At 35.8% G+C, this 26351-nt stretch overlaps 1 protein-coding gene and 1 long non-coding RNA gene across 15 annotated transcripts in view, besides 1 other annotated feature; one reads left to right on the top strand and one right to left on the bottom strand.

Annotated features, from left to right (window-relative positions):
* The first annotated feature begins 3239 nt into the window (after positions 1-3239).
* The window catches only part of MINDY3 (MINDY lysine 48 deubiquitinase 3), an 82334-nt gene continuing 59222 nt past the window's right edge, over positions 3240-26351 (top strand). For 8 of the 13 annotated variants that reach the window (XM_006717508.3, NM_024948.4, XM_017016671.2 and 5 more), the window contains exons 1-5: positions 3240-3541; positions 15804-15883; positions 20475-20535; positions 22148-22321; positions 25468-25519. In XM_006717508.3, the coding sequence (XP_006717571.1) occupies positions 3448-3541; positions 15804-15883; positions 20475-20535; positions 22148-22321; positions 25468-25519 (461 nt within the window). In that variant the 5' untranslated portion in view covers positions 3240-3447. Of the gene's footprint in view, positions 3542-5779; positions 5844-15803; positions 15884-20474; positions 20536-22147; positions 22322-25467; positions 25520-26113; positions 26206-26351 lie in introns of those variants that run through there. The other 5 variants (XM_047425774.1, XM_047425773.1, XM_011519694.2 and 2 more) reach the window with 4 other exon arrangements.
* Positions 3449-3498: an enhancer, noted in NCBI's record as "active region_3096". NCBI's record gives its function as "activates an Ori minimal core promoter by ATAC-STARR-seq in GM12878 lymphoblastoid cells {active_cell/tissue: GM12878}" and the evidence as "EXISTENCE:reporter gene assay evidence [ECO:0000049][PMID:35858748]".
* Positions 4947-26351, bottom strand: part of LOC124902383 (uncharacterized) — a 121044-nt gene continuing 99639 nt past the window's right edge. The window contains exons 3-4 of one of the 2 annotated variants that reach the window (XR_007062071.1): positions 14159-14268; positions 4947-5824 (exon numbers count right to left, since the gene is read on the bottom strand). This is a non-coding gene — a long non-coding RNA (uncharacterized LOC124902383). Of the gene's footprint in view, positions 5825-6055; positions 14269-26351 lie in introns of those variants that run through there. The other variant, XR_007062070.1, reaches the window with a different exon arrangement.

Raw genomic sequence — 26351 nt, 5'->3', positions numbered from 1 at the left:
AATCTTATGACAGGGTGAGTTTTTGAAATATTTGATTTCTTCTAGGTAAGGAGTAATGTAAATACACTAAATTAGGAGTCCAGGGTTTCCAACTGGAGAATTGTACTTTTCATGTTAGTTGCTAGGAACTAGGCAATAAAGTTGTTGTGCTTTTATCTGGCAAAAAAGTTTGAGGAAAGACAGGAAAATAATTAAACAGAGTTAGAGTTTAATGCTGAGTAATTAATTTTGTTGCCTGAAGTAGTAAAGATGGATAAAAAGAATTCATTATAATGGAAATCTCAGCCCAGTTTTATGGAAGCACCCTGACTTGAATTTGAAAGAAACAGAAGTATTATTAATAAAACTTACATATAAATAGGAAGTGAAAGATTATTAATGCAACCTATATACACCTCAGTGATACAAGTTTAATCGAAACCATAGACAGTCCTGAGAAAAACAATATGCTAAAATATGAAGTGTTATAAATACATGAAAGAACATTTACATAATTTTCCAAGTCATTATAACAAGAGAAAGGCATTTTCATCCAGCACCAGGTATAGATGCAAAACGTGATTCACTTAAATATTTATTTATAGATAATTACTGAATAAGAACAATTTTGATGAATATTAATTTCTATTTAAATGTTATACCTAATGAATAATTAAGCCAATAATTTAAAAGTAAAATATTCCTTGTTAAAGATATGTCCTGCTAATTAAAAAATTTAAAAGATTACACATAAAAATTATAATGTGGGCCAGATGTGGTGGCTCACGCCTGTAATCCCAGCACTTTGGGAGGCTGAGGTGGGTGGATCACCTGAGGTCAGGAGTCGAAGACCAGCTTGGCCAACATGGTGAAACCCCATCTCACTAAAAATACAAAAATTAGCCGGGCATGGTGGCGGGTGCCTGTAATCCCAGCTACTCAGGAGGCTGAGGCAGGAGAATCACTTGAAACTGGAAGGTGGAGGTTGCAGTGAGCCAAGATGGTGACACTGCACTCCAGCCTGGGCAAAAGAGCGAAACTCCATCTCAAAAAAAAAAAAAAATATAATGTGGAAGTGGAAAGGACATTCATATAAATGTCTATCCAGGATTTTGCCAGCATCACTGTAGCTGGAAACTAAGAAAAATCATAGATCAAAAAATTTCTCGTTTAAAAAAATACAGTTTGAAAGTACAATTTTTTGTTTTTTCATAACAAAGTAATCAAACTTATAACTACTATCTATATTAATGTAAAGGAAACAAATGTAGTGTTATATACACTACACCATTAATATTTACATACATTAATGGAGAAAGTCAAATGTGGAAACACTTCTGAACTTAGAAGTCTGCCAGTTATGAGCTCTATGTACATAGACCCTTCTGTGTCTTTCAGGAAGTGGAAGAATTACGTAAATTGTAATCAGCATGCGAATATTAGATATTTAACTGGAGCAGTCAGTACTACTTCCCCGATCTCTCACTTGCTGAGAGATAATGAATTCTTTATTTCCAGTAAAGGCAAGTTTTGTTCCTTGGAATCGTAATTATTGAGATCCAGTGATGTTCAAGGCCCCATGCTAGAATTATGAATAGGCAGCTCTTTGCTTCCATAAATTTATATCCCAAGAGAAAAGCAAATAACTCTTTGCAAATACAATGATGATAGGAATTGTCATAAGCAAGTTACACATAAGGTACTATGAAGCCTCAGAAATTATAATTATTACTTTCAATTGTAATGACTGGAGAAAGTTTGGCATGCACACTCTGACATGAAGGATAGGTAAGATTTGATTTGCAAAAACAAGGCAAGGGATATTCTAAAGGGAATAAAGATCAAAAGGAATGCTATGGCTCTACTACAGGCACTTTGGGCAAGTCCCTGTAATTACAGTAAAGGGTACTGAAGAAATAAAATTAAATTAATTAAAATAAAATTAGAAATAACGTATAAATAGGAAAAAATAGCTAGTAATAAAGCATAAATTAACAAAACCTTATTTGCAATCTAAAAGATTTTAAATTAAGGGTTAATTTTAATTAGCCAAATGCAAGGGTATTCTACAATGAAACTGCATGTTTTTGAAATTAGAGAACATAACGTATTATACTAAAATACAACTGGCTAGAATTTATGGGTAAAAAAGTCAGAACTACTGTTGCATCAAATTCCCACAAAATGGCTTCTTGAGGTAAAAAAAATACCCACTGTTGCATAAATGCCTTCCATGTGCTAGGAAGTACACCAAATCCTTTGTATGTGTTACTTTTTCCATTTATTCCTTACAATATATGAAATGTATGCAATCTCCCTTTTAGAAAGAAAAAAGCCTAGGTAGATAGTAGGTAACTTGCTAGTAAGTGCAAAAGGTAGGAATATGGGCCAGTATGACCCACAGCTTGGCCTCTTAACTATTGCATTACTGCATCCCAAAGTAATATGGTTTCCAAGGAGTACAGAAACCTTACAGAACCAAAATAAAAGCATGTATTTTTTTTTAAATCAGATTTTGCCCTTTCGTTTTAAATTCAAAGCTCGGGCAATACAAGCCCTCTTTTTTTAAGCAGCACAAACATAAGTTTTCACATGAACTCAATTTAACTGCTAGTTAATGAGTAAAACCTAAACTTTAGTCCAGGTGTTGCCCACACACTCTGCAGTGTCAAAAACTGGAGATGAAAATGCTGTAACATTTACAAACAGGTTGCTCTGAATTTGTTTCCCTACAAATACCTTGTAATTCTGCGTTGCAGCTGGTGGAAGCATTTCTAATGCACATTATGCCACATTCTTTGCCATGTTTTTAGGTAATAGTTGGTCTGACTTTGATTTATTGAAGTACAGAGGCGGACAGCCTCCAGCTTATGAGAAGCGCCCTACAAAGGCACGGATGTTACCGCACTGTGACTCAACTATTGCCTTATAGTTCTAGTTTTGCAAAATTAATATTGAAAAATACAAGCAATGGGCATATGTTCTAATTCCTAGTGCCTGGGCCTCAGAGCCTCCAGCTTAGCCCAGAGCAGTGCGTAGAGGAAGAAGGTATTCCTGGAGTTTAGAAACACGCCGACGCCCCTTCCCAATACAAAAACTACCACCCCACCAAAGGGTCCCAGACAGTTCAGAAAGGTCAGAAGCTACTTCCACCGCTTTCCGTGCCTGTTTCCGCCTCCAATTTCACTTCCGGGGAGGGGACTTCCGGGCCCTCAGCCTTAAGGGGCGGGAGTTAAAGAGGAGTCGGAAGTGGCACCAGCACTTCCGGTACGGAAAACTCGCTGCTGCCCCAACCTGGCTTGACAGGCTTGGTCTCTGCAAGTGGCTCTCAGCCCCTTCTTCTTTCCTGCCTCACCTTCCAATTCGTTTGCCGCCGCCGTCCCGCAGCTGCTGTTTCCGGAGTTGCCCCTTCCCCATGTTCCGGGGCAGGAGTCCGCAAAGCGAAGATCCGCCCGCCGGTTCCTCATCATGTCCGAACTGACTAAAGAGCTGATGGAGCTGGTGTGGGGCACCAAGAGCAGCCCCGGTCTCTCGGACACCATTTTCTGCCGCTGGACGCAAGGTACCCTGGCGGGGCTCTCACACTTGCAGCCGCTGCTTCTTTTGCCCTGCGAGAGTCCGCCTGTGACGCCTCTCGCTCCAGCCCCTCGCGTGCCCCGCTCTCTGCCCCAGTCGCCGTGCTCAGCGCTGAAGCTGGACTTTCTAGACACGCCCTGCCTTGCCTTGGTGGGGAGAGTTTGAGTAGGAGAATGGTTACAGCTGCCACTAAATACCCGCAGCGCTCTTTCCATCCTCCGGGCTGCCCTTCGGCTGGGGAGGAGGAGAGGGTGGCCCCTTGCTGGGTTGCAGGGCGTGACACGGAAGATGCGCCCCGTGCCCCGGTGTCACTTTCTCAAGGGGTGCTGTGGCCTTCCGCATCTTTACCCCCTAACAGAGCTGTCTATTGGTGGTGGTTGGTCTATTTTTGGTGAGAAGGAGGGACGTCCAAGGGAAAGTCCAAGTGGCTAATTCCAAAAAGCAGTTTTTTGTTTGTATTGTCATTATGTGGTTAGGCGTGGTAGTCTGTGTATAAACACTGTTATTTGCTAAAAAGTGTACTCTTGGCCCAAAGTATCCCCGTTTTTTATATGGTTTATTATCTGTCACGGTTAAAAAAGGAATATGGATCATAGTACTTCCTCGGCCGGTATGCTTGTAACCCAGACAGGACTTTTACTTACATGAAGAGTCTTAGTACAAATAATAATGAAATAAAATAAGCATTTATTGAATTCTTGCACTGTAACAGGCTGGGCGCTTTATACTAGTAACTATCCCTAATTCTTAAGTTTGGATAGGCAAACAACTGACACATTCCTAAAGGTGACTTAGGAAAGATGATGATGAGGTTAAAACATAACCTTGAGTCAGAAGGATCAATAATTTATGTATGTAAAACACTATTATTATTAAAACATCTATTTAGGGAACACCTGTTCCCGAAATAGATTGGGCGGAATTTTGGCATAGTAAATATAAACCCCTATTTCAAAACGTGTATTTTGTAACAAAAATTCAGGATTTACGTAATCTCTCCCTCCCTCCCACATGTTTGTTTTAAGAGCTGGTAAAATTACAATTACGATGTATTGTTAAGTTGGGATATTTAGTCCCTCACTGTTGCTTTGCAGGCGAAAAAAATTAGTTGTAAAGGTAAATGACTGGGCCAAAGTTGCACAAATCGATAGAACTGGGAGTGGATTCCAGGTCTCTCGATTCCTAATATACCTCTGTTTTCATTATCTTCCTTTGAGTTCCCAAACCCTACATGTAATGACTTGGGCTCTTTTTTTTCACATTCAATTATGTCAGTTACCTAATCTTGGGCTTCTTAGAGGGAGATTTTATTTTAACACTTCCCACTTTGACTTACTTATTCTAATAGTAAGCAGCTCTAAAATACTGTGAAAGACTAAGAAAAAATTTACTTCCATTGTAATCAGTTAACATTTATTAAACATTTTACAAAGTAGAATAAGATAATATTCAGCCCTGTTTATATTTATACTGTAATGCAAATACAAGGAAGATTCAGGGTGGCAGTTCTAGTAATGGTTAAGAGCACAGTCTGGAATAGATGTACTTGGTTCAGGTTCATGTGATTTAGCTTATTTAAGCCTCAGTTTCCTTCTCTGTAAAGTACAGATAATAGACCTTACAGAGTTATTGTGAGGATTAGAGGCCATGTAAATAATTTAGGTGCTTAGCACACTATCTGACGTATAGTGAACACTCAGTATATGGTAGCTGTTTTTATATTATTTTAAAAAGTGTTTAATTGTAGACTATGCCAAATTCACTCTTTGGCTTTTTCCTGACAATTACAATAAGTTGTTTATTTGATGGCTAATCATTATTCTAAATAGAACTTTATAATGACTTATTAGAACGCTCTGCCACCTTTAATCATGCAGAAATTCTTTAACAGGATTAGTTCCATCAGTACCATTTCAAAATAAAGGATTTCTTTCTTTTTTTCGTTTACAGGGTGCAGTTAGTTATATTTTGGATATGTAGCTCTTCAAGGCCTTACACTGATTAAGATTTTAAGGCAACCAAACATATATTTTTGAAGTTATCGCCTCTGAATCAGAGGGGTCCTGTTACTGGTTTTGATATGTTAACTGTTGTATTCATTTGTTTGTTCTTTGAGGCCATTGCTAAATATTGCTGTGGCAGTCCTTTGGGATTGTGGGAACAGGCACAAGACACTGCTTTGCTGCATTACTAATGTGACATCAACTCTGGCTTTATTTCATAGTCTGTGATCGTGTCTTCAGTTGACAACTGCAGTCTCATTAGTTTTCTGGAAGCAAGATACAGATGTAAGATGTTTGGCATGAATATTTATACAATTATGTCTAGAGATATTTCATCTATAAAATTATATTGATTGATCAAGTTAAATTCTTTTGATATGGTTGTTAAAACAATAAGCTGCAGGAGTGGCACATAGTTGTTTTTAATTGGCTTGACATTTTTAGATAATTCTCTTCTACAAATCCCTGTTCGTTTTAAAAAATGCGGGGTGTTTTTTTTCTTCTTCTTTTTTTGGGCAGTTTTAATTTTAAAGGCAATAAGCCATGTAATTTAAGGGCTTAAAGTTGGCAGGGTTTTATTTTAACGTGAAAATTTATTCTTCTCTCTGCTTTCCTCCTGCTCAATTGCCTATAGTACTTTTTAAAGAATAGCATATAATTTTCACTTCCTTAGCTCATTAACACTATTTATCCTCCCCCCTTCCCACAAACTACACCAGTATTCCAAGCTCTTACAGTTGAGAGTCAGTAGGGTGGGAGGGAAGACAAACAGTAAATATAACGTAGCATAAATTACACATGTACAATAAATAGTTTGAAGATGAGGAAATACAGAGTTCTGGGTGGGGTGTCCTGGTCAGGCCTCATTTTAAGATGAGATTTGAGCAAACACTTGGAGTCACTCAGCTAGTCATGCAGAAGTCGGAAGAAAGAGTGCTCCAGGCAGAACAAATGGTAGTTATAAAAAACTTCACAGAAAATACACTTGGTCTGTTTAAGGAACAAGAAGGAAGTTAGTGTGGCAGGAGGGGGAATAAAGGAAAAGGAGAGTAATAAAAGATGATATAAGAAATGAAATGGCCCAAATCATATAAAGCTTTCTAGGCCATTAGAAGGACTTTCACTCATCTTATACATGAAATAGGGGTCCTTCGAAGGTTTGAAGCAAAGGAGAGATACTACTTGACAAGTTTTTAAAGGACTGATCTGCCTGCTGTGTTTGAGGATAGACTGTAGTGGATTGGGACAGCAAGATCAGATAAGAGACAATGGCAGCAGTCCAGGGGAGAAAAGATGCTATCTTGGACCAGAGTAGTGGTAGTGGAGATGGTAAGAAGCGGACAGAGTGACCACAACCAAACAGAACCAAAATAAGAATCAGCTAGACCTAACAGAAGTAGTATTTCTTGTATAAATAAAAACATTTTGACTTATTTGGAATTTATTTTCTTTTCAATATTGATTGCTTAGCTCAGTGTTTGGCAAACTTCTTTAAAGGGTGAGTGGCCTTTTTATTGCCTCTCAGCTCATTAATGGTATTGCAGCAAAAGCAGCCATGGTTAGTATGGGTGTGGCTGCATTCTAAAACATGAAAGCAGATGAGGGTTGTAGTTTGCTGACGCCTGAGGGAGAGTGTAAACTCTTATAGCCATTTTTCCTTCTTCCAATTATTTTCCTTCTTCCAGTTATTTTATTGTTTCTCCTAAAGACTAGTCAGAGAGAGATTTATTTTTGCTATTTGTAGCAGTACAGTGGGTGGGTTTTTTTTTTCTTTTTCCCCAGGGGAAGAGGGGCGTGTAGGTGTAGTTGATTGAAATTAGAGCTTTGGGCTTTCAGTGTAGCACAATTTTTGTTACGTAATATGAAAAAAAGATATTTAACAAATAACTTAGGAAAATTGAGGGATCCATTAAAATATAAATATAAAATATATTAGGAGTTAATACAGTTGGGTTAATTTAAGGTTTAAAGGCGTGTTTGGGTATTTATTTTAATGTGATTTACTATTTTATCAAAGTAATAAAATGACACACCAACATCATTAATTTTTCTTCCAAAGTGAAGCTAATACTGTGGATCACATCGTTTAAAAGTTTTTTTGTTGTTTTTGGAAGTTTTTAACATTCTCTTATATATATTTTTCCTTTCTTCAACATACCTAAATTATAATTTGCCTAACAACCAATATTTCTTAATTCGTAATTGGTAAGCATATATGACAAAATTAATTCCTTGGTACTTTGAATATATAATTTGTTTTATTATTCAAATACTTGAAAGTATCTGTGATAATATCTTATATTTGTACTATATTTTACAGCTTATGAAAATCTTACCTAATCTTTGCAACAACCCTGAAAGATAGGAAAGAACAAATGTAGTTATCCTCATTTTTTTAGATGTGAAGTCCAATTGAGATATTTGACTCAGCCAGGATGTCAAACTAAGTCTTTCTATAGCCTTGTTTACATGGAAGGCTAGAATTGTAGAAGGTATAGTTGTCAAAATGGTGTGCAAAATGTGTATATGTATAGTAAGTAATATGAAAACAAGAGATTGAAAAATTGCGATGAGGTTCATGGCTCAGGTTTACCCTGGTTCTGAGCTATAAAATGTGAAAATGAGAAAGATTTTTCTGTGATCTGTAGTACTGTGTAATGTGATACAAAATTGTCTACGTAGGATTAGGTGTTTTAAGATGGGTAATTTCAGACGTAATCAGGAAAAACGGCCATTTATGGTAAGTTAAGTCCTTTTAAAACTAGGAAATAATTTGAGTATGAGAACTCTTGAGAAGAAAAGTAATGCTGTGTCCTGAGAAATTCAAACTTAAGTAAAACCTTATTATGAAAAGAGAAGTCTACTCAGCATAGTCCTGTTTTAGGATAGAATACTTAATTTTCATTTAGCTGACTTTATTTCATTTTGGCTCTACTAGCCTTTGTCCGTTATCAGTTAACACACTCAAACATGTATACTGGAATTAAACAGAATTTGGCATGAAGCATAACTGCTTAGAATTCACTCCATGGGCTTTTAATATTAAAAGTACAAAAGCAACTCACTGTAACGCATTTCCAACTGAAAGCCCCACCTGTGGATAATTGAGTTACATGATTTAAATTTTTAAGGAAGGCAAGATCCATTACTAATTCACACTTTAATTTCATACACGAAAAGTTTAGCAGATCTTAATTTTGCCTCTGCACTTGGGTACAACACTAGGGTCCCTTTCCTTATTCTCAGTAGAAGAGCTGGCCAAACAGTGAAGATTTCATCTCTTGTTCCTAGGTTGGACCTTAAATTTGGTTGTTTTAACATAACCAGAAACCTTAGTTGTCACTTTCTTATTAAATTTGTTACATGTATCTTCTCTATTCCAGTTCTCCATTTGTCCTATTTTTGATCTCCCAGGCTGCTGTGTATTGCTGGAGAAAATTGTGTCCAGCACCAATACAAATGTAGTTAAATCTTAGCTGAGCCCTCAGTGCTTCTCTTAGTTCTTTCCTTATGTTTTTTGGAATTAACACTTTCCTCAATTCTGTACCCTTCTCATTCCTCTCACTCTCAATATAACACCTGTTCACTTTTTCATTTTTCCTCATATGTTTAACTTAAAAGCCTTCTAAAATTTACTTCTTCTCCTAGGCCAGTGGCTCTCAAGTTTTTGGAACTCAGGTCCCCATTACAGTGTTAAAAATGATTGAGGACTTCAACTCAAAAAATTTAAAACTTAGTGAGACTCTTGGCATTGTTTTACATTTTTGCTAATCTCTTTAATGTTTATCATATTAGAAGACAGCTGGATTCCTACACTGGCTTCTCCAGTCTGTGGCAATATATTATTTTGGTTGAAGTGGATGCAGAAAATCTGGCCTCACATATGCAATTGGAAAAGGCATGAGAAGTATGGTAGTAGCCTTTTCAGATAATTACACATAATCTTCTTTAATACCACACCAAAACTTGACACATCAGAGTATTGTAGAGATTAGTTGCAATACGAAATCTAAAACCAAATCATGTAACTTTTCATCCTCTGTTAAATTGAAATCCATTGGTCTGTCTTGCAGTTTTAATAGATCTCTTACCTCTGCATTAATTTATAACAGTATACATCAGTGATTTGGAGATTATCAGTCTACTGGTTTATGACAATCTTCCAAGTGTTAGTGTATGTCATTATACCATACCAGAAGTCACGTTTGTTTCTGTTACCAGTGATGTCATCGGAACAATCTGTAAGCATTGAGAAGCTGTCAGAGTCACAGTAGTGGACACAAGTGTTCCAAGTTACTGCTTGAATGCTCGAAATTTTATCACTGGCTATTTTCCTTGAAATGTCAAGCTCACTTATTTTTGAGAAAATGTCAGCCAGATACTCAAGTCTGAATAACTGTAGCTTATTGGTAGTTATACTAGGTAAAAGCAGCACTCCATTAAAAAAAAAAAAGTAGCTGGTTCAGCTTGCAGTTAAAAAAATTACACATATACTTTTCCTTGAGATAACTTTTGACCATCATACCCAGTATGTAGCATAAGTGCTTTATGGGTAGCTTCCATTTTGTTCCGCAGAATATATTTTTAAAAAGACATTGTATTCAAGATCAAGATACAATAAAATTAGTAATTTTGACTGCAGCAGTAAGTATGTTCTTAAATTGGCTCTGTAGTTGTGTGAGGGTATGGGGGTGTTTTTTAGGACAGTGACCACTAGGACAGCTTGATGTTACTGTCTCGATGTATGCTAAGGAACCAGCAATGTATTACACCATAGCTTTTGTACCATCACTGTGAATGTCAACACAGCGAAAGGGGCAAATCATATCTTAGTTTTATCATGTAAATAATTGTAACTTCCAGTGGGCCCCCTGAAAGGTCTCTAGGATTTCCAGGGTTATCGGTGGACCACCTTTAAAAGTCTCTCTCAGCTCTTTTTCAGGACTTGGAGACCTTAAACTTCCTCTTTTCCATATAATCACTCTTTCCCTTTTCTAATTCACACCCTTCAGTCTACAAAATTAATAATTCTTGATCCAACTACCCTTCAAACTATCATTCCTTTTTCCCTTCTGCCAAACTTAAATATAGTTGTCTGTTGGTGTTCGAGGGGTAGTGGGTTCAAGGATCCCCCTGCAGATACCAAAATCCATAGACGCTCTGCAGTATTTGCATATAACCTACACACGACTTCCCCTACACTTTAAATAATCTCTAGATTACTTACAATACCTAATACACTGTAAATGCTATGCAAATAGTTGTTACATTGTATTGTTTAGGGAATGATATGAAAAAGAAAGTCTGTACATGTTTAGTACAGACCCAACCATCGTTTTTTTCCCACCCTCAAATATTTTCCATTTGTGTTTGGTTGAATCTGTGGTCGCCAAACCTATGGATATGAACGGCCAACTGTAGTTTGCTTTTACTATTTCTCTTTCTAATCCGAATTACACTTCAACCTTTTAAAATTTGGCTACTCTCCCTAGTGCTGTAAATTTATATTTTTAGTATTCCCAATGACATGATTAATCTAGTATTTTAATTTATATCTTTATTCAGCAGCATTTGTAATAGTTGACTACTCTTTGCTTCTGATTTTTCCTTTCTAGGAGCTCAGTTAATGTGCTTTTCTCTTATCCTTCTAATGTTTATCAGTCTCCTTTGCTGACTCAGCCTCTGCTCACTTTTTAAAGTTCCCAACTTCATTATTTTTGTTTTACAAGTTCTCATTCACTTTAACTGACATGTTTAAGATGATTGAAATTGCTGCCTCTAATCCTAAGTCCTGCCCTGAACTACACACTTACATCTCCGATTTCTAAAAGTTGCCAAATGGTTATCTCACATTTTTGAGACTGAACTTGGTATTCCTAGAAACAAACACTGCCATTATCTTCCATGCCAAAACATCAACAAGCATTAATTGAGCAATAGCCACAGTATGTTGTAAACATACTGTGGGAAAACAATGACCAGTAACACAGATACAACACCGGTCAGGCAAGGCAGATGATTAAGAAGTAAACAAACAATAACTACAGATTATGGTAAGTACTGGTTGTGCTAGGGGATGACAGGAGAGACTACTTAGATAGGTTTGTAAGGAAATATCCCTATGAGGAATTAACACCTAAACTGAGACCTGAAAAATAAGGATTTATCTATATGGAGAGTAGCGGAAAGAGCATTTTTATGTAGAGAGAACAGTGAGCATTGAGGCTACAGGTAAAGTCTCTGGGATGTTCTGAGGACCTAAGGTCACAGTAGATAATGATTGTAAGTGTAAACAGAGTCAGCTGGATTGATAGATCATACAGTGTCTTCTAGACCACAGAAAGGAGTTTGGGTTTTATTTTAATTGCAATGAGAAGCCACTGAAATGTTTTAAGCAGGCTGTGTCAAAATCTGATTTCCATTTCTAAAATACTTTCTGGCAACTGTGTGGTGAATAGTTGGGGACTGGACAGGAGGGAGGAAGGAATAGGGAGACGTGGTTGGAAACTCAACAGTATTTAAGGTCAAAGATTATAGCGGTTTGAACTATAGGGTGGACTGGAGATGGGATGGAAATGGACACGTTAAAGATACGTTTTGAAGCCTTGAAGCAGGCAGGCCTTATCTTAGGGTGAAACCTATAGGTAAGTTTGAGTTTTCCAGAGAAATGGTTAGCAGGTGTATCAAGCAGAAGAAACATTTACAAGGGGTAAGAGACATAGAGAAAATGAAATATCTCAGGACCTGAAAGAAAATGTGCCCAGAATCTAAAAGGGAGAATGGCAAAGGGTGAAGAGGGAGATGCAGGCAGGAGCCAGATAATACAGGACCATGTTAAGGGACTTAGACTCTGTCTATGTCTGGAGTCCTAATCTGGGCTATATTTGGGAATTACATGGTTATAACAAGGAATGGACTGTCTGGGAGTAGATGAGATTACTCAGGAAAAATATATAGAATGAAAGGAGCATAGATCCTAAAACCAAGACCTGGGGAACATTAGCACTTAAAAGCAGTGATCATGGAGACAGAAGAACTAGAAAAGCAAAACTTGGAACAAAAAGCCAAGGGACAAAAGTTTCGCAGGTTTGTGGTCAGCATTTCAGATTGATTCTTTGGAAGGTTAAATAAGATAAGATTTGGGAACTAGCCTGTACTGATGACTGATGAACTTGGGTGAGAATGAGTTTGGTTCACTTATCGGGGGAACCAGCACCCAATATTTCAACGTAGGTTCTTTTCTATTTTCCCTAAGTGTTGGCTGGTCTGAGAAATAAAGGGACAGAGTACAAAAGAGAGAAGTTTTAAAGCTGGGTGTCGGGGGGAGACATCACATGTCAGCAGGTTCCATGATGCCCCCTGAGCCGCAAAACCAGCAAGTTTTTATTAGCTGAGATCACATGCTTTAAGGGCAATAAAATATCACAAGGCAAATGGGGGCAGAGTGAGATCACAGGACCAGGGCAAAATTAGAATTGCTGATGAAGTTTCATGTTGTACTGGGCCGGCATTGTCATTGATAACATCTTATCAGGAGACAGGGTTTGAGAGCAGACAACCGGTCTGACTAAAATTTACTAGGCAGGAATTTCCTAATCCTAATAAGCCTGGGGGCGCTACAGGAGACCAGGGCTTATTTCGTCCCTTATCTACAACTGTATAAGACACTCCCCGAGCGGCCATTTTAGAGACCTCCCCCCTGAGAATGCATTCTCTTTCTCAGGGCTGTTCCTTGCTGAGAAAAAGAATTCAGCAATATTTCTTCTATTTGCTTTTGCAAGAAGAGAAATATGACTCTGTTCTGCCCAGCTCCCAGACAGTCAGACCTAATGATCATCTCCCTTGTTCCCTGAACACTGCAGCCATCCTGTTGCTTTTGGGTGCCCAAATTTCATATTGTTCAAACACACATGCTCTACAAGCAATTTATGCAGATAACACAATCATCACAGGATCCTGAGGCGACATACATGCTCAGCTTACGAAGATGACGGGATTAAGAGATTAAAGACAGGCATAGGAAATTATAAGAGTATTGATTGGGGAAGTGATAAATGTCCATGAAATCTTCACAGTTTATGTTCAGAGATTGCAGTAAAGACAGGCGTAAGAAATTATAAAAGTATTAATTTGGGGAACTGATAAATGTCCATGAAATCTTCACGATTTATATTCTTCTGTCACAGCTTCAGCAGGTCCCTCCATTCAGGGTCCCTAACTTCCCGCAACATTCACTCATGGGTTGAAAACCAGATTAGTGAGGGTTAAGTAAATTGTGTGGTAAGAAAATTGAAACAGGGCATATATAGATGACTAGCTGGACTTTGGGAGGACAAGAGTGATGGAGTGCTGATTGGAGTTTTTGGTGGAATCTTAAGGTTTTGTTTTGTTTTATTTTAATATGTTAGATAAATGTTTATATGCTTCCTGGAAGAGATTGAAGATAAAGAGAGGAGATGGGATGGAATGGCACCCTCTCTGGCACCCTCTCCATTGCTCTCACCTGGTGTCTCAAACTAGAAACTTCAGAAACAGCTCTAATTTCTTTTGTACCAAGCCTTTGCCCCACTTAACACATAGTAAATAAATCTTATTTTTACCTCAGAAATATTATTTGAATGTAGTTTCTCTTCTCCACGGTAATGTTGCTTTCATTACGTCAGCATCATCTCTATAGGGATGTTGAAACAACTTCTTCCTGCTTCTCTTCCTTTAAAAAAGGAAAAAGAAAAAAAAAAAAAACCAGTAAGATGATATTACTGTTTTACTGAAAGATCTCTGCTGGTTAAGTCCTGGTTCTTTGGCCCTTTGCAATATTAACCACTTGTCATCTTTCCTGCCGCCCATTTGCTGGCACCTCCATCCTACCCCCGTACTACCCTTTAGCTGTGTTAAATTTTCTCTGATTTATAAACATTCTGTCCTCTTGGAAAACCTTTTTGCTTTAATTAAGGTATTTTCTTTAGCTGAATTCCATTCATTCACCTTTGCCTCTCTGGCAAATTCCTGTTCAAGATGAGCCTGGAAGTTATCTGTTATGATAGTATAGAGCATGCCTTTCTGTATCCACAATACTCTGCATTCTTCTCTTATAACATTAGTTTATTCCTTTATTTTAGTAATTATCTGTTTGTATGTCTCTCTTCACCTGCACTAGTGGCTCCTCCAGACCAGAGACTGTGTCATCCAGGCATATATCCTAGATGATTGGCATAATATCAGATGTTCATTAACCTGAACTGGTTTGGCTGAATGTCTGAATAGTAACAATTAATGGAATTTATAGGTTCTTAGCATTTTGGAATTGGGATTGATTATTTTAATGAGAACACTGAGGCCCAAGCAGGTGAAATGATCTTCACAGGGTTATCCAGATGGTCACTGGGTTCTCCTAACTTCTGACCCAGGGCCATCTGAAGAACTTCCGCTAGCTGCTATCAGTCAATGCTGGTTGGGTAATATTTAAATTAAGGTAAAGCCAATATAAACACATGTACTGTCTACAATGCCATTTAATTTTTCTTTCTTTTTTTTTTTTTTTTTTTTTTTTTTTTTGAGATGAAGTCTAGCTCTGTGGCCCAAGCTGGAGTGCAGTGGCACAATCTCAGCTCAGTGCAAGCTCCGCCTGCTAGGTTCACGCCATTCTTCGGCCTCAGCCTCCCGAGTAGCTGGGACTACAGTTGCCCACCACCACACCTGGCTAATTTTTTGTATTTTTAGTAGAGACGGGGTTTCATCATGTTAGCCAGGATGGTCTCGATCTCCTGACCTCGTGATCCGCCCGCCTCTGCCTCCCAAAGTGCTGGGATTACAGGCGTGAGCCACTGTGCCCGGCCAATGCCATGTAATGATTAGCTTATAGAATGTGACAGAAAGTTTGAAATGATAGAATGATATGGTATTTAAAGAGTTCTAAAAATTGTTTGAATTTAGTAGACTATCTAGTCCTCCTTAGATGAAAAGTCAGATTCAGTGTCATTTTACTAAAGTCCATACTTTATCCTCCTAGAGGAGTTCCTGGGTGCAAAATTGTGTGAGTATATGTACTCTTACGTGCATTTGGGAGTGGGGGTGGATAGGTTCTATAGATTTTTTTTTCAAAAGGTTCCTTGATCCACACCTCATGATTTGAAGATATTTTGCTGTTGTGATAAGTGATCATTCTCAAAGCAAAGTACATGAAAGATTCTTTTAGCTGCTACTTGAATTATATTTTTAATCTTTCCTACTTGCTTTCATTTTTAGGGTTTGTGTTTAGTGAATCAGAGGGATCTGCATTAGAACAGTTTGAAGGTGGCCCCTGTGCTGTTATTGCACCTGTTCAGGTAACATAGACTCCTTTACCAACTCCTTAGAGGGACATTTTGAAACGTTTCATACTTGTCGTTTTCTAATGTCTGTACTCCATATAGTAATTATGAGACATAATCAATTAACTCTTAACTTTTGCTCATGTAAATTACAATAAATATCCAAAATAAAAATGAATTCACCATATCGATGAGTTGTGCAATAGTAGCCTTTTGACAATCTTTATTTTCAAGGAAAAATAATAGGCGTTCCCTGACTTTCAGAAAATTAGGAAGTTTCTTGACTTCTTTAACACAGAGATCCTATTAAGTAATAACATGTTATACACTAGATAGGTACAATCACTGTAATTGTACTATTTTCATTATTTCAGTCTGTAAAAGTTACTTTCCTAAAGCTGAAGGTGATTTCATATTTTTCTGGCTTATAACTTTTTCAAATTTGAAAAAAGTTGGCAGCTTATACTATTTTATGCTATAGCTTTGGCTTTTCTGAATAAAATTCGTAACAACTGATTTCAAACAATTTCAAAAACCAAAAATGTTTTTTCTTTGCACAAAACATAGGATTTATCGGAATGTCTTTATTTGATTTGGAATCTTGGTATGTTACATTGTTTGAATTTCAAAGGCTGATTCGCTATAAACTGTTAAATTGTTAAAACCAAGAATTGAATTCTCAGTTTACTGTAATACTGATGATGTCTGTGAATGACAGTGTTACTTTGGAAGTGTTATAAAAGAACTGTTATAAAAATTACAGCTAATTTATTGTTTATGTTTTAACCATCGTGTTTTGAAAATATATATATTTAATGTGGCATTTATTATTCATTGGGTATTAAGAATGCATTCTGGCCAGGCACGGTGGCTCGCACCTGTAATCCTACCACTTTGGGAGGCCAAGGTGGGTGGATCACATGGTCAGGAGATGGAGGCCATCCTGGCTAACATGGTGAAACCCCGTCTCTACTAAAAATACAAAAAACTAGCCGGGCGTGGTGGTGGGCACCTGTAGTCCCAGCTACTTGGGAGGCTGAGACAGGAGAATGGCGTGAACCTGGGAGGTGGATGTTGCAGTGAGCCGAGATTGCGCCACTGTACTCCAGCCTGGGCGACAGAGCGAGACTTTGTCTCAAAAAAAAAAAAAAAATGCATTCCTAAACTGTTGGCTACAAAGTAAATTTGTTTCTCAGAACTTATGCTCTATATAGAGCATAATAATACTTACATTATTAAAAATATATTTCTGTAGAGGAAGAAAAATTATGGTTGATTCCAAAATATCTTTTATAGATCATTTATTTTTTTAAGTTGACTTTTTTTTGCATTAGGAGAATTTTTTTAAAATGAGGAAAAATTTGAATGTCTGAATCTTGCCTTGGAATTATGGAATGTGAAGAATGAGATTTAACTACAAATTAGTAATTATAGCTGTTGTACTGAGTAACTGAAACAACTTTTGGTTGCTAGTAGGAATGTTACCTCAATTTGAAGATTCCTTGTTATGTCCATATGTAAATTAGATTATATAAATACTGCCCCTCTTGGTCAGTAATAGCAAGGTTTTTGTTGCAAGTGCATGAATATAGTTAAATGGAGGGTATACCACAGGAGTTTCCTGTTTTATAAAGTACAGTATATTTCAGTAGTGGTAGTTATTTTTGCAAGTGGGTGTTATGCAATGATGGTTATATTCAAAATCCTGAACCTACTTTTCTATACCTTTGAGGTAGTAATTAAGTTTAAGAATCACGGCCAGGCGTGGTGGCTCATGCCTGTAATCCCAGCACTTTGGGAGGCCGAGGCAGGTAGATCACCTGAGGTCAGGTGTTGGAGACCAGCCTGGCCAATGTGGTGAAACCTCGTCTCTACTAAAAATACAAAAATTAGCTGGGTGTAGTGGCAGGCGCCTGTAATCCCAGCTACTCGGGAAACTGATGCAGGAGAATCACTTGAAACCAGAAGGTGGAGGTTGCAGTGAGCCGAGATCACGCCACTGCACTCTAGCTCGGGTGAAAGAGTGAAACTCTGTCTCAAAAAAAAAAAAAAAAAAAAAAAAAAATCACATAGGCCAGGCACGGTGGCTCACACCTGTAAGCCCAGCACTTTGGGAGGCTGAGGGAAGAGGATTGCCTAAGGCCAGGAGTTCAAAACCAGGCTGGGCAACAGAGTGAGACCCCTGCTCTAAAAAAAAAAAAAAATTGAAAAAATTAGCTGGACATGGTAGTGCACACCTGTAGTCCTAGCTACTCGGGAGGCTAGAAGGGGAGGGTCTTTGAGCTCAGGAGTTCAGGGCTGCAGTGAGCTATGATCATGCCACTGCCCTCCAACCTGGGCAATAGAGGGAGACCCTGTTTCTAAAAAGGAAAAAAAAGAGTCACGTAAACTTTGTAAAGAATTTTGTTTGTATTAATATTTCAGTGTAAGAGTCAAAACTAAGTTATTAAGGAGACCAGAAGTGAGCAAGTACATATATTAAAACTTTTTTAGAGTATAAAAATTAGATCATGATACTGTGTAAGAAGAATAGGCAAAATAATGGAACCAAATACATAATACAATCATAGACCTCATTACCTGTCACAATTTACCAGGAATTTGTCACACCAGGAATAAAGAAGGAACTAAGATCAGTGGTGAAATAAAATAAACTTCCATAAATCCCATCAATATGACTTGTTAGCACTTTGAAGGGAAGATAAGTTTAGATAATTTTGTACCATATATCAAATGTATCCTTGGAATAATATTTAACAATAAGAAACTTAATGTATCATCAACACTCTAAGAGAAACAGAGACTTCCAAACTAAGAAATATTTGCAGTAAATATTAGCAATAAAGGGATATTGTCTTTCTTATATAAATAACTTGGAGAAGTTAATTAGAAAAACACTAAGATTCAGGGGTGAAATGGGCATAGATGTGCAGTCATAACAGGTGGAATGATGCTTTACAGCCAAATAATCAGGATGCTCACCCTCACTAGGAAGCCAGGAAAGTAAAAATAAAACTGTAACTAGGTTCTATTTCTTACTTTTTGTCATCTTTAAAAATAAAATTACAATTGCCAGTGCATGTAAGGGTGGGAAGATGCTGGCACACTCATATACTGCTATATAGTACAAATTTGTGGGTAGGAATTTTAAATTATAATTGGAACCATGACAGTGCAGATTCTGATGTAATAGTTGTGTTTCTGTGAATCTTTTCTAAAGAAATATTTAATATGGAAAAAGTTGTATTTAAAAAGGAGCTTATATGTTAAAGTAGCAAAAAAATTGCAAGCAACCTAATGCACAATAATGTAATTTAAATAATAAGTAAACTTTGATAAATAGCTTGATAGACAAGTAGTGATTAAGAATTATGCTTACGAATTCTGTAGAAAAACAGAAAATACATTCATATACCCATTATGATTTTTCACTTGTAATAAAATTAAAACTAGATATTAAAAAAGATGGGAAGGAAGCATGTCAAAATGCTAACAGTAGTTATATTGGCTGTGAAATAATGAATATCCCCATCTCACTTCTCAAATGTTGTGATGTAGTTATACTTTTCTACTTGATGGTTGTTGCCCTTTTGCGGAAAAATCAGAAGCGCTTGATTAGCATATTTGTAGACTTTATGCCTATGTAAATGGAATATGACTTAGTTTTTTGTTGTAACACCTTGAATTGTTTATTGGTGCCAGGTACTGTGCTAAGTGCATTACATAGATTTTCTCATATAATCTTCGCTGCAAACTTTTAAAGTTTGTACAGTTATTTTTAGTTAGTAATAGTGGAGCCAGGATTCAAACCTAAGTTTGCCTGATAAAAAGCAGTCTTCCTAATCTGTACACTAATACTTTCAAACACAGGTGAGGAAAAGTCGTCATTGTAACCTGTTTTTTCTTGGACCTGCCCTCTAGAGATTCAGAGAGAATAGGTGGAGCCCAAGAAACTGCAATTTAAACAAGTCAGGTGACTGGGATATAGCTACCGTTGAACTACACTTTGAGAAGTAGACACTTCACTGTGCAGCTTTTTATCAAATAACCAATGTAACATCGTTGACTCGCTTAAGGGGAAGTTTAGAAATCCATTTGTCTTTTCTTCTGAATCTTGTACCTTTTTGAGTTAAACTTGAGCTCCTGATAATAAAGTGATGACTCTAATAGTGTTAATCTTGTGTCACAGATGAAGACTAAGGGAACAGAACCACTTTTATATTTAGATTTCTTTTACCTGAAGGAATCTAAATGAAATGTAGACTTGTTCGTGTTCTACAGGGCTTTCACTTTGTGAATAGAGCAGTAAGTTTGTGTGCTTTTCAGTTATTCTGTTATGTGAGTTAGTTCTTCTACTTGTCAGAAAATATGTATTGTGGAAGAAGAAGAATTTTATGAATCTAGAATCAAGTTTATAGCAGTATACTCTGAATAAATAACTGCACAGTTCCTGTCAAATGTGAGGGGAACCCATTTGACATCTTTACAGAACTAGTCAAAAGATTAGAAAGGGAGTACACATTATTTTTTCCCACTTTAAAATTGAAGAATGATATGATGTATGGTTATAATGCATTTCACTAATTATTGCTTTAATTGTGTAAAGGCATTTCTTTTGAAGAAGCTCCTGTTTTCTTCGGAGAAGTCTTCTTGGCGGGATTGTTCAGGTATGATAGCTGTCTTTTAAAACTTTTGCTTCCTCCTCTGTTTTAATAGAGATGATCTAAAATTATCTGAGAAAGTCAAGTATCAGTGGGAATTTTTTTTCCTGAGGTTTCCTTTTAAAATGTTTTAGAAAGTTTCATGAACAGTGACTCCATATTTCCAAATTTGGCTTTCTAACCAGGGGTTATAAGACATGATGGTATAACTAAGGGAAAAACGTTTGGCCTCTTGGTAAAACACGGTGCATTTCCTAGAACTGTTAGGTGGCAGCATGCCATAAAGAACAGTCTTTTTTTTTTTTTTTTTTTTGTAGTCTTATTTAGCTGTGGGCAAGACCTCAGAATTATCATTATATTCCTGCATGTTTTAGTATAATGCCTTACACAATGCAAATACTGCAAATAATTTTGGATGAAATTGCAAATGAAGCTGTCATAGCTTCTGTAACATGAGCTTCTGTACCCAGAGAGATGTGTGGTGCCACCTTATAATAACAAGAATTTGCATTCCACGTGACAGTTTACAAAGATCTTTCCTTCACTTACACAATTTCCTGTGAACCTCACAGTAAATTCTGGAAGAAGTTAGGACACATTACAATCCCAGTTTTGTATCTAAGGATGTAACAGCTTACATTCCAAACCATGACTATAGAATCTACTAATGATTTTGAATTTAAGAGTTAAGGGATCACTTCCATAAGTTTTAAATTAATAGGTGAAATACAAAACAAATTTTAGTAGAGAAGAAACTATTTGAGATACTATTTTTGAAATGAACTTTTAATAAAATTTATACTATTTCTTATACTATATTCACTATATTCACTTTGATAAAACATTTGTAAAGCATTGTCATAAGTGTCATAAATACTGTGGTGATTAGAAAGTGAACAGCATAGTTCCTGCAGTTAAAGAACTGTTAATCCATTAGGAGAGACAGAAACCTCCTTGTATCATAAAATTTTTGAAAGTTTCAGAAAGTAATACTACTTCTTGAGAGTAATACTGCTTGAAAAGAGTGTGGCTAAGGTTCATAAAGAGATGGTCTGAGCATTTGCGCCATTTTCTATAAAATTCTAATGCTCAAATCTGTATTCTAACCACTGGCTTCTGCTGATGTAATGGACTTTGGTAACATATGTGCTGACGGTCTCTCATCTCATTATTCTTATCCCTTTGGGACGGGGTGATCATAGACGTTAGATTAATTCAGATGTGAGGGAAAAAAAATAGAGGTTTCAACAGGCCTTTACATTGTGCTCAGTTCTTCAGTAGAGGAAACCTCTTGGCTTAAATGCTGCAGTTGCTAAAGTTTTAAGAAAGTGATGATCAGTGTCACATTATGATCTTTCATAATGTTTAGTTCTGCATTTTTCAGTATTCTTTTTCTACTTGGTGGTGTTATTTGGATGGCTTTATTTAAAGTGGTGATATTTTAATCCACAAACACATTGTTTTTCTAAGACATAATTTAAAATCTATTTAGAGATTTTTCCCCCATTTTTAAAATGCTTGATTTTCATCATTAACCCATTCTTACTATTGTTATTCATGACAGAATTTTTTTTTTTCCAGAGGAAACCATTATAACTTATGCTTTGGTTATTTTTAGAGGAAGAGCAGAAGGAACTCCTTTGTCATACCTTGTGTGATATTTTAGAAAGTGCTTGTTGTGACCACTCTGGATCATACTGCTTGGTTTCATGGTTAAGAGGAAAGACAACTGAGGAAACTGCTAGTATTTCTGGGAGTCCTGCAGAGTCTAGTTGCCAAGTGGAACATTCTTGTAAGATATATTTTTATTTCCTGAAGTTTTTTTCTTGTTCCTTTGTTTTAATGAATCTATTGAATATTTTGAAGAAAAAATTACTTAAAATTTTCATAACATGTATTCTTTTCCAGCTTAAGCTTAATTACTGAGCCTCACTATTTTTTATTTCCATATCATTTATTTTAACTACTTAGAAGATACTACATTTTTGCAAAAAAAAATGCATCTCTTAAACTTTTAAAAATGTTCTGGTTAACTTCTGCTTGATAATAATCTCTTTTGAGCTTTAGAACTCTTATTTAGAAATAATGATATGCTTCAGTTTCAGATGCCTTAATGTTTTGCTTTGGTATTGCAAAAACGGATTTTTTTGGACATCAGAAGATTTCATAAAGTTATCTTTACTTGCTTCCCAGAGCAAAGATGGGGACATTTCTCCTCATTGCAAGCTGTTTCTTTTCTTTCCGAATTATTTGGATATTTTTATACATATAGATTATTTTAAGGCAATTTTAATTATGCCTTAAGTTTTTCATACCTTGAAGATAAGTTAAATAATAGCTGTTTACGTTAAATAATAGCTATTCTCATTATTCATAAAAATTATATATTCTGTGGTTTTTAACTTTTGAAAATTGTTATGTAATTGACCCGAAAGCTGCCAGTGTGAAATGGAGACAGCTAGTGGTACGGAAGCTAGTTAAGAGTTGCTTTTCTGATTTGCTTTTCAGGAATAATCTTGCTAGTTGATGGTTTTTTATAATTGGTAGTCCCAAGTGCTTATGTTAAATAAGTGACTTATTCTACCCACAGAGCATCACATTAACTATCATCTTTGTGGAAAGTTTTCGTAAAGAGATTACGTACCTGAAAGTACACTTCAATTGTATGGGATACACATTTTGCTTTCCATATAGTATTATCTATAAGGTGCTGTTGCCTCCCTGGACTAAAATGCCTCTGTGTTGTCAGTGTCTTTTTTCTCCTACCTCTGCAGTTAAAATGCCTTAAGCCTGGCAAATTCTAATAGTAGTAACATTTGCAAGGAATAATTTTGAACATTTGAACAGCTATATGATGCTTCCTTTTGAAGCCTTTGAAATATGGCCTTTCAAAAAGAACTTAACATATTTTAGAGTTTATAATGACATTTGAAGACAACAAGTGGAAAACAGTCACAAGGATGCTAGTCCAAAGTGTCACTAAGATTGGTTTTAACATATTCTCCAGGTTTTACTGTGTGGGTGTTAGCACACTTAATAGGTTCATTTAGGATATTAAAATTTTGAAAGAGGAATTGTTGATCTTTTGAAAAGGTATTTTAAAGATTTTGTGCTTAAAGCCAGTCTGTATATTGATGTGAGAAAATAGTAAGATCTTTTTATATAACATTTTCCATTAGTATCTTAACAGTATACTGAGTGCATACTATGAAATATGCTATGCAGTTCTGTGGTGATACGTCACGTTGCTATAGGTTAAAGGGCCTTATAATGCATTCCCTTTGGTACTTCAGTAACTAATTTAGATGGGCATATTATATTGAATTACCCTCCAGAAAACATTTTAGTAATTTTTCCAGTTTACTTTGTATCTCATTTTAAAAGTTGCCATGAAGTAAACCATATTTTAAATTTTTTAAATAATGTATACATTTGAAATACTTTGTTAACTGAAAATTTGAGAATTTACCTTAGTGACAAATGAACTGTATTTATATTACAATTTTTATTCCGTGTAACAATCTATTTTACCTGTTCTTTCCTTTATTCCCAGCTTTGTTCTTTTTCTTGTGTTTTATATTTTTTCACCATCCCTGCCTGCTAAGCTTTTTATTTTGCTTGCCTCTTTTCTCTAAATTATTATCTTTATGTCTACTCTTGTAGTATACCCAGTAAAACTATTTAGATAATCTAATGTTGCAGAACAAGCAGTATAATTTGGAAAAGATTAGGTAGAATTTTCATTTTCTGAAAGTTTTAATGTAAAGTGTTTTCCCCTCTTGTTAATATTACTTTCTCTACAAACATTAATTTCATTGGCTTATGTGGTGTGTATAGTTTTGGCTTGTTGGTAATGCACAGTTGTTCGCAGTAGTGAATACTCAGGTTCAATTTCAGTTTGTTTCCCACATAAACCAAGAAATAACTTAATACATTTGGACTGCTAAAGATTTTAAAACGAAATATGAAACACTCACAACTAGGCTTTGGAAAGCTAGCATAATGTGACATTTTAAATTGTAAATAAAAATCTAAAATTTTGACTTCATAATGAATCAATTTTCTTAACTCACCAGTGAGAATTTATATTTGATAGTAGTAAGATTTGCTTTATGAAATATATGTGAAGTTATTCATTGTGATAAATAACTCCCTGGAGCCAAGACTATCTGTGCTCAAGTCTCATCTCTGCTGTTTAATCCTATGTACTCTTGAGAGGATTTTTCTGTGTGCCTCAGGTTCCTCTTCTGTAAAATGGAGCTAAGAGGGTTTATATGAGGATTAAATGAGGTAAGACATGTAGGGCATTTAGAAAAGGGCCTGGCACTTAGTAAAGTGCTCAATAAACATTACCTCTGATTAAAATGCTTTCTTCTATTTCCTTTGATTAATAAACATAATCTAAATAAGTTACTGAAAACTTTTTAACAGTTATACAAATAAATGAGGAAACAAACTTAAAGCTGTCATTGAACCTGTGTAGTTTGAAAGTGTTATGCCTTTTTATACATGTTTGTTTAATAATTAAGCCTTAAACCTAAAGATTTTATATTATAAAAAGGAAGGTTAGCTCTGATGATATTACTTGGATTTATATAATCTGAAAGATTATTTAAAAGTGCAGGACACATTATGATATGTGAGGCACTGATTATCAGTAATTTTTCATACTTTATAACTGCCGTAGCATAGCTGAACTGAAATGTTATTTAATCACCCTTCTATATTCTCAGTATTATATCGATTTTAGTTATATTCATAATAAAGATGTTGAAATATAAATTCATGTTATAATGAAGTTGAAAATAAACTGAGAATTTTAAGGGAGTAAGGAAATAGGGAAAGTTTTGATTGCTTGAAAGTATTTACAGCCTGCTGTGTGTATCTTGTGTCATTTATTTGCCATGTGTAGTGCTGAAAAGTGTCTTTTATGTATAGCTGCCTTGGCTGTCGAAGAGCTTGGCTTTGAGCGATTTCATGCATTAATTCAGTAAGTAACATTGGAACATTTAAAATACTTACTCTGTGGACACATTGCCACTTTAAGTCTGTTCATACTGTGGAAAGGTTCTTAGTTTTACATAGAAATGCGCTACTTAAACATAAATTTTAAATCCATTGCTTCAGGATTAATTTGCCTTTAAATTAAAATAGTTTGTAAATGTATAAACTATGCTGAGTCCTTAATTAACTACCCAGATACGCTTTTCAAAAACATTAAAAAGCTTTTTCATCATTACAATGAAAAAAAATCATTTTAGCTTAATGTTTCTGTGACCTAAACAAATATGAAGATTTCTAGTAGGATAAATATTAGAATTATTTATTTGCCAGTATCTGTTTTCTATACCTTTTATTAAGAATACCGATATTTTTGTTAGAGCATTTAAACTTTTTATTACAAAGTAAAAGGTAAAGATGGCTGTTGATAGAATTATGGGTGGCATTTGGTTTAAAATGTAACATTAATTTCTTTTAAAAGAAGCCGCAAATGTGTAAGTTATCTTTGGCATTAAGATATTTGTTAAGTAATTTCTAGGATTTAAAAAGTGAAGTTTTCTTTGTGTTTACCCCCTCTTACAAGAAGGCCACTCTATTCTTTAAATAACTGTATATTATTGAAGAATTTACTGATGCCAGACAGTTCACCTAAGAGATGAAGAGGTTCCCTGCCAAGTAGGTGTTCTTTCTTAATGATAAATATCATATATAGTGATAGTTGTCAGAAATAGCTTTTGGTTTTAGTGGCTAAATTTGTAATGAAAAATTTAGAAACGTCCCAAAACTTTCCTGTTTGTATGTATATGTTTTAATGTATAAGA

The sequence above is a fragment of the Homo sapiens genome, chromosome 10 (assembly GCF_000001405.40).
Source record: "Homo sapiens chromosome 10, GRCh38.p14 Primary Assembly".
NCBI classification, from domain to species: Eukaryota; Metazoa; Chordata; class Mammalia; order Primates; family Hominidae; genus Homo; species Homo sapiens.
Note: the sequence above shows the minus strand (reverse complement) of the source record. Positions and strands in the feature narration are given on the sequence as shown.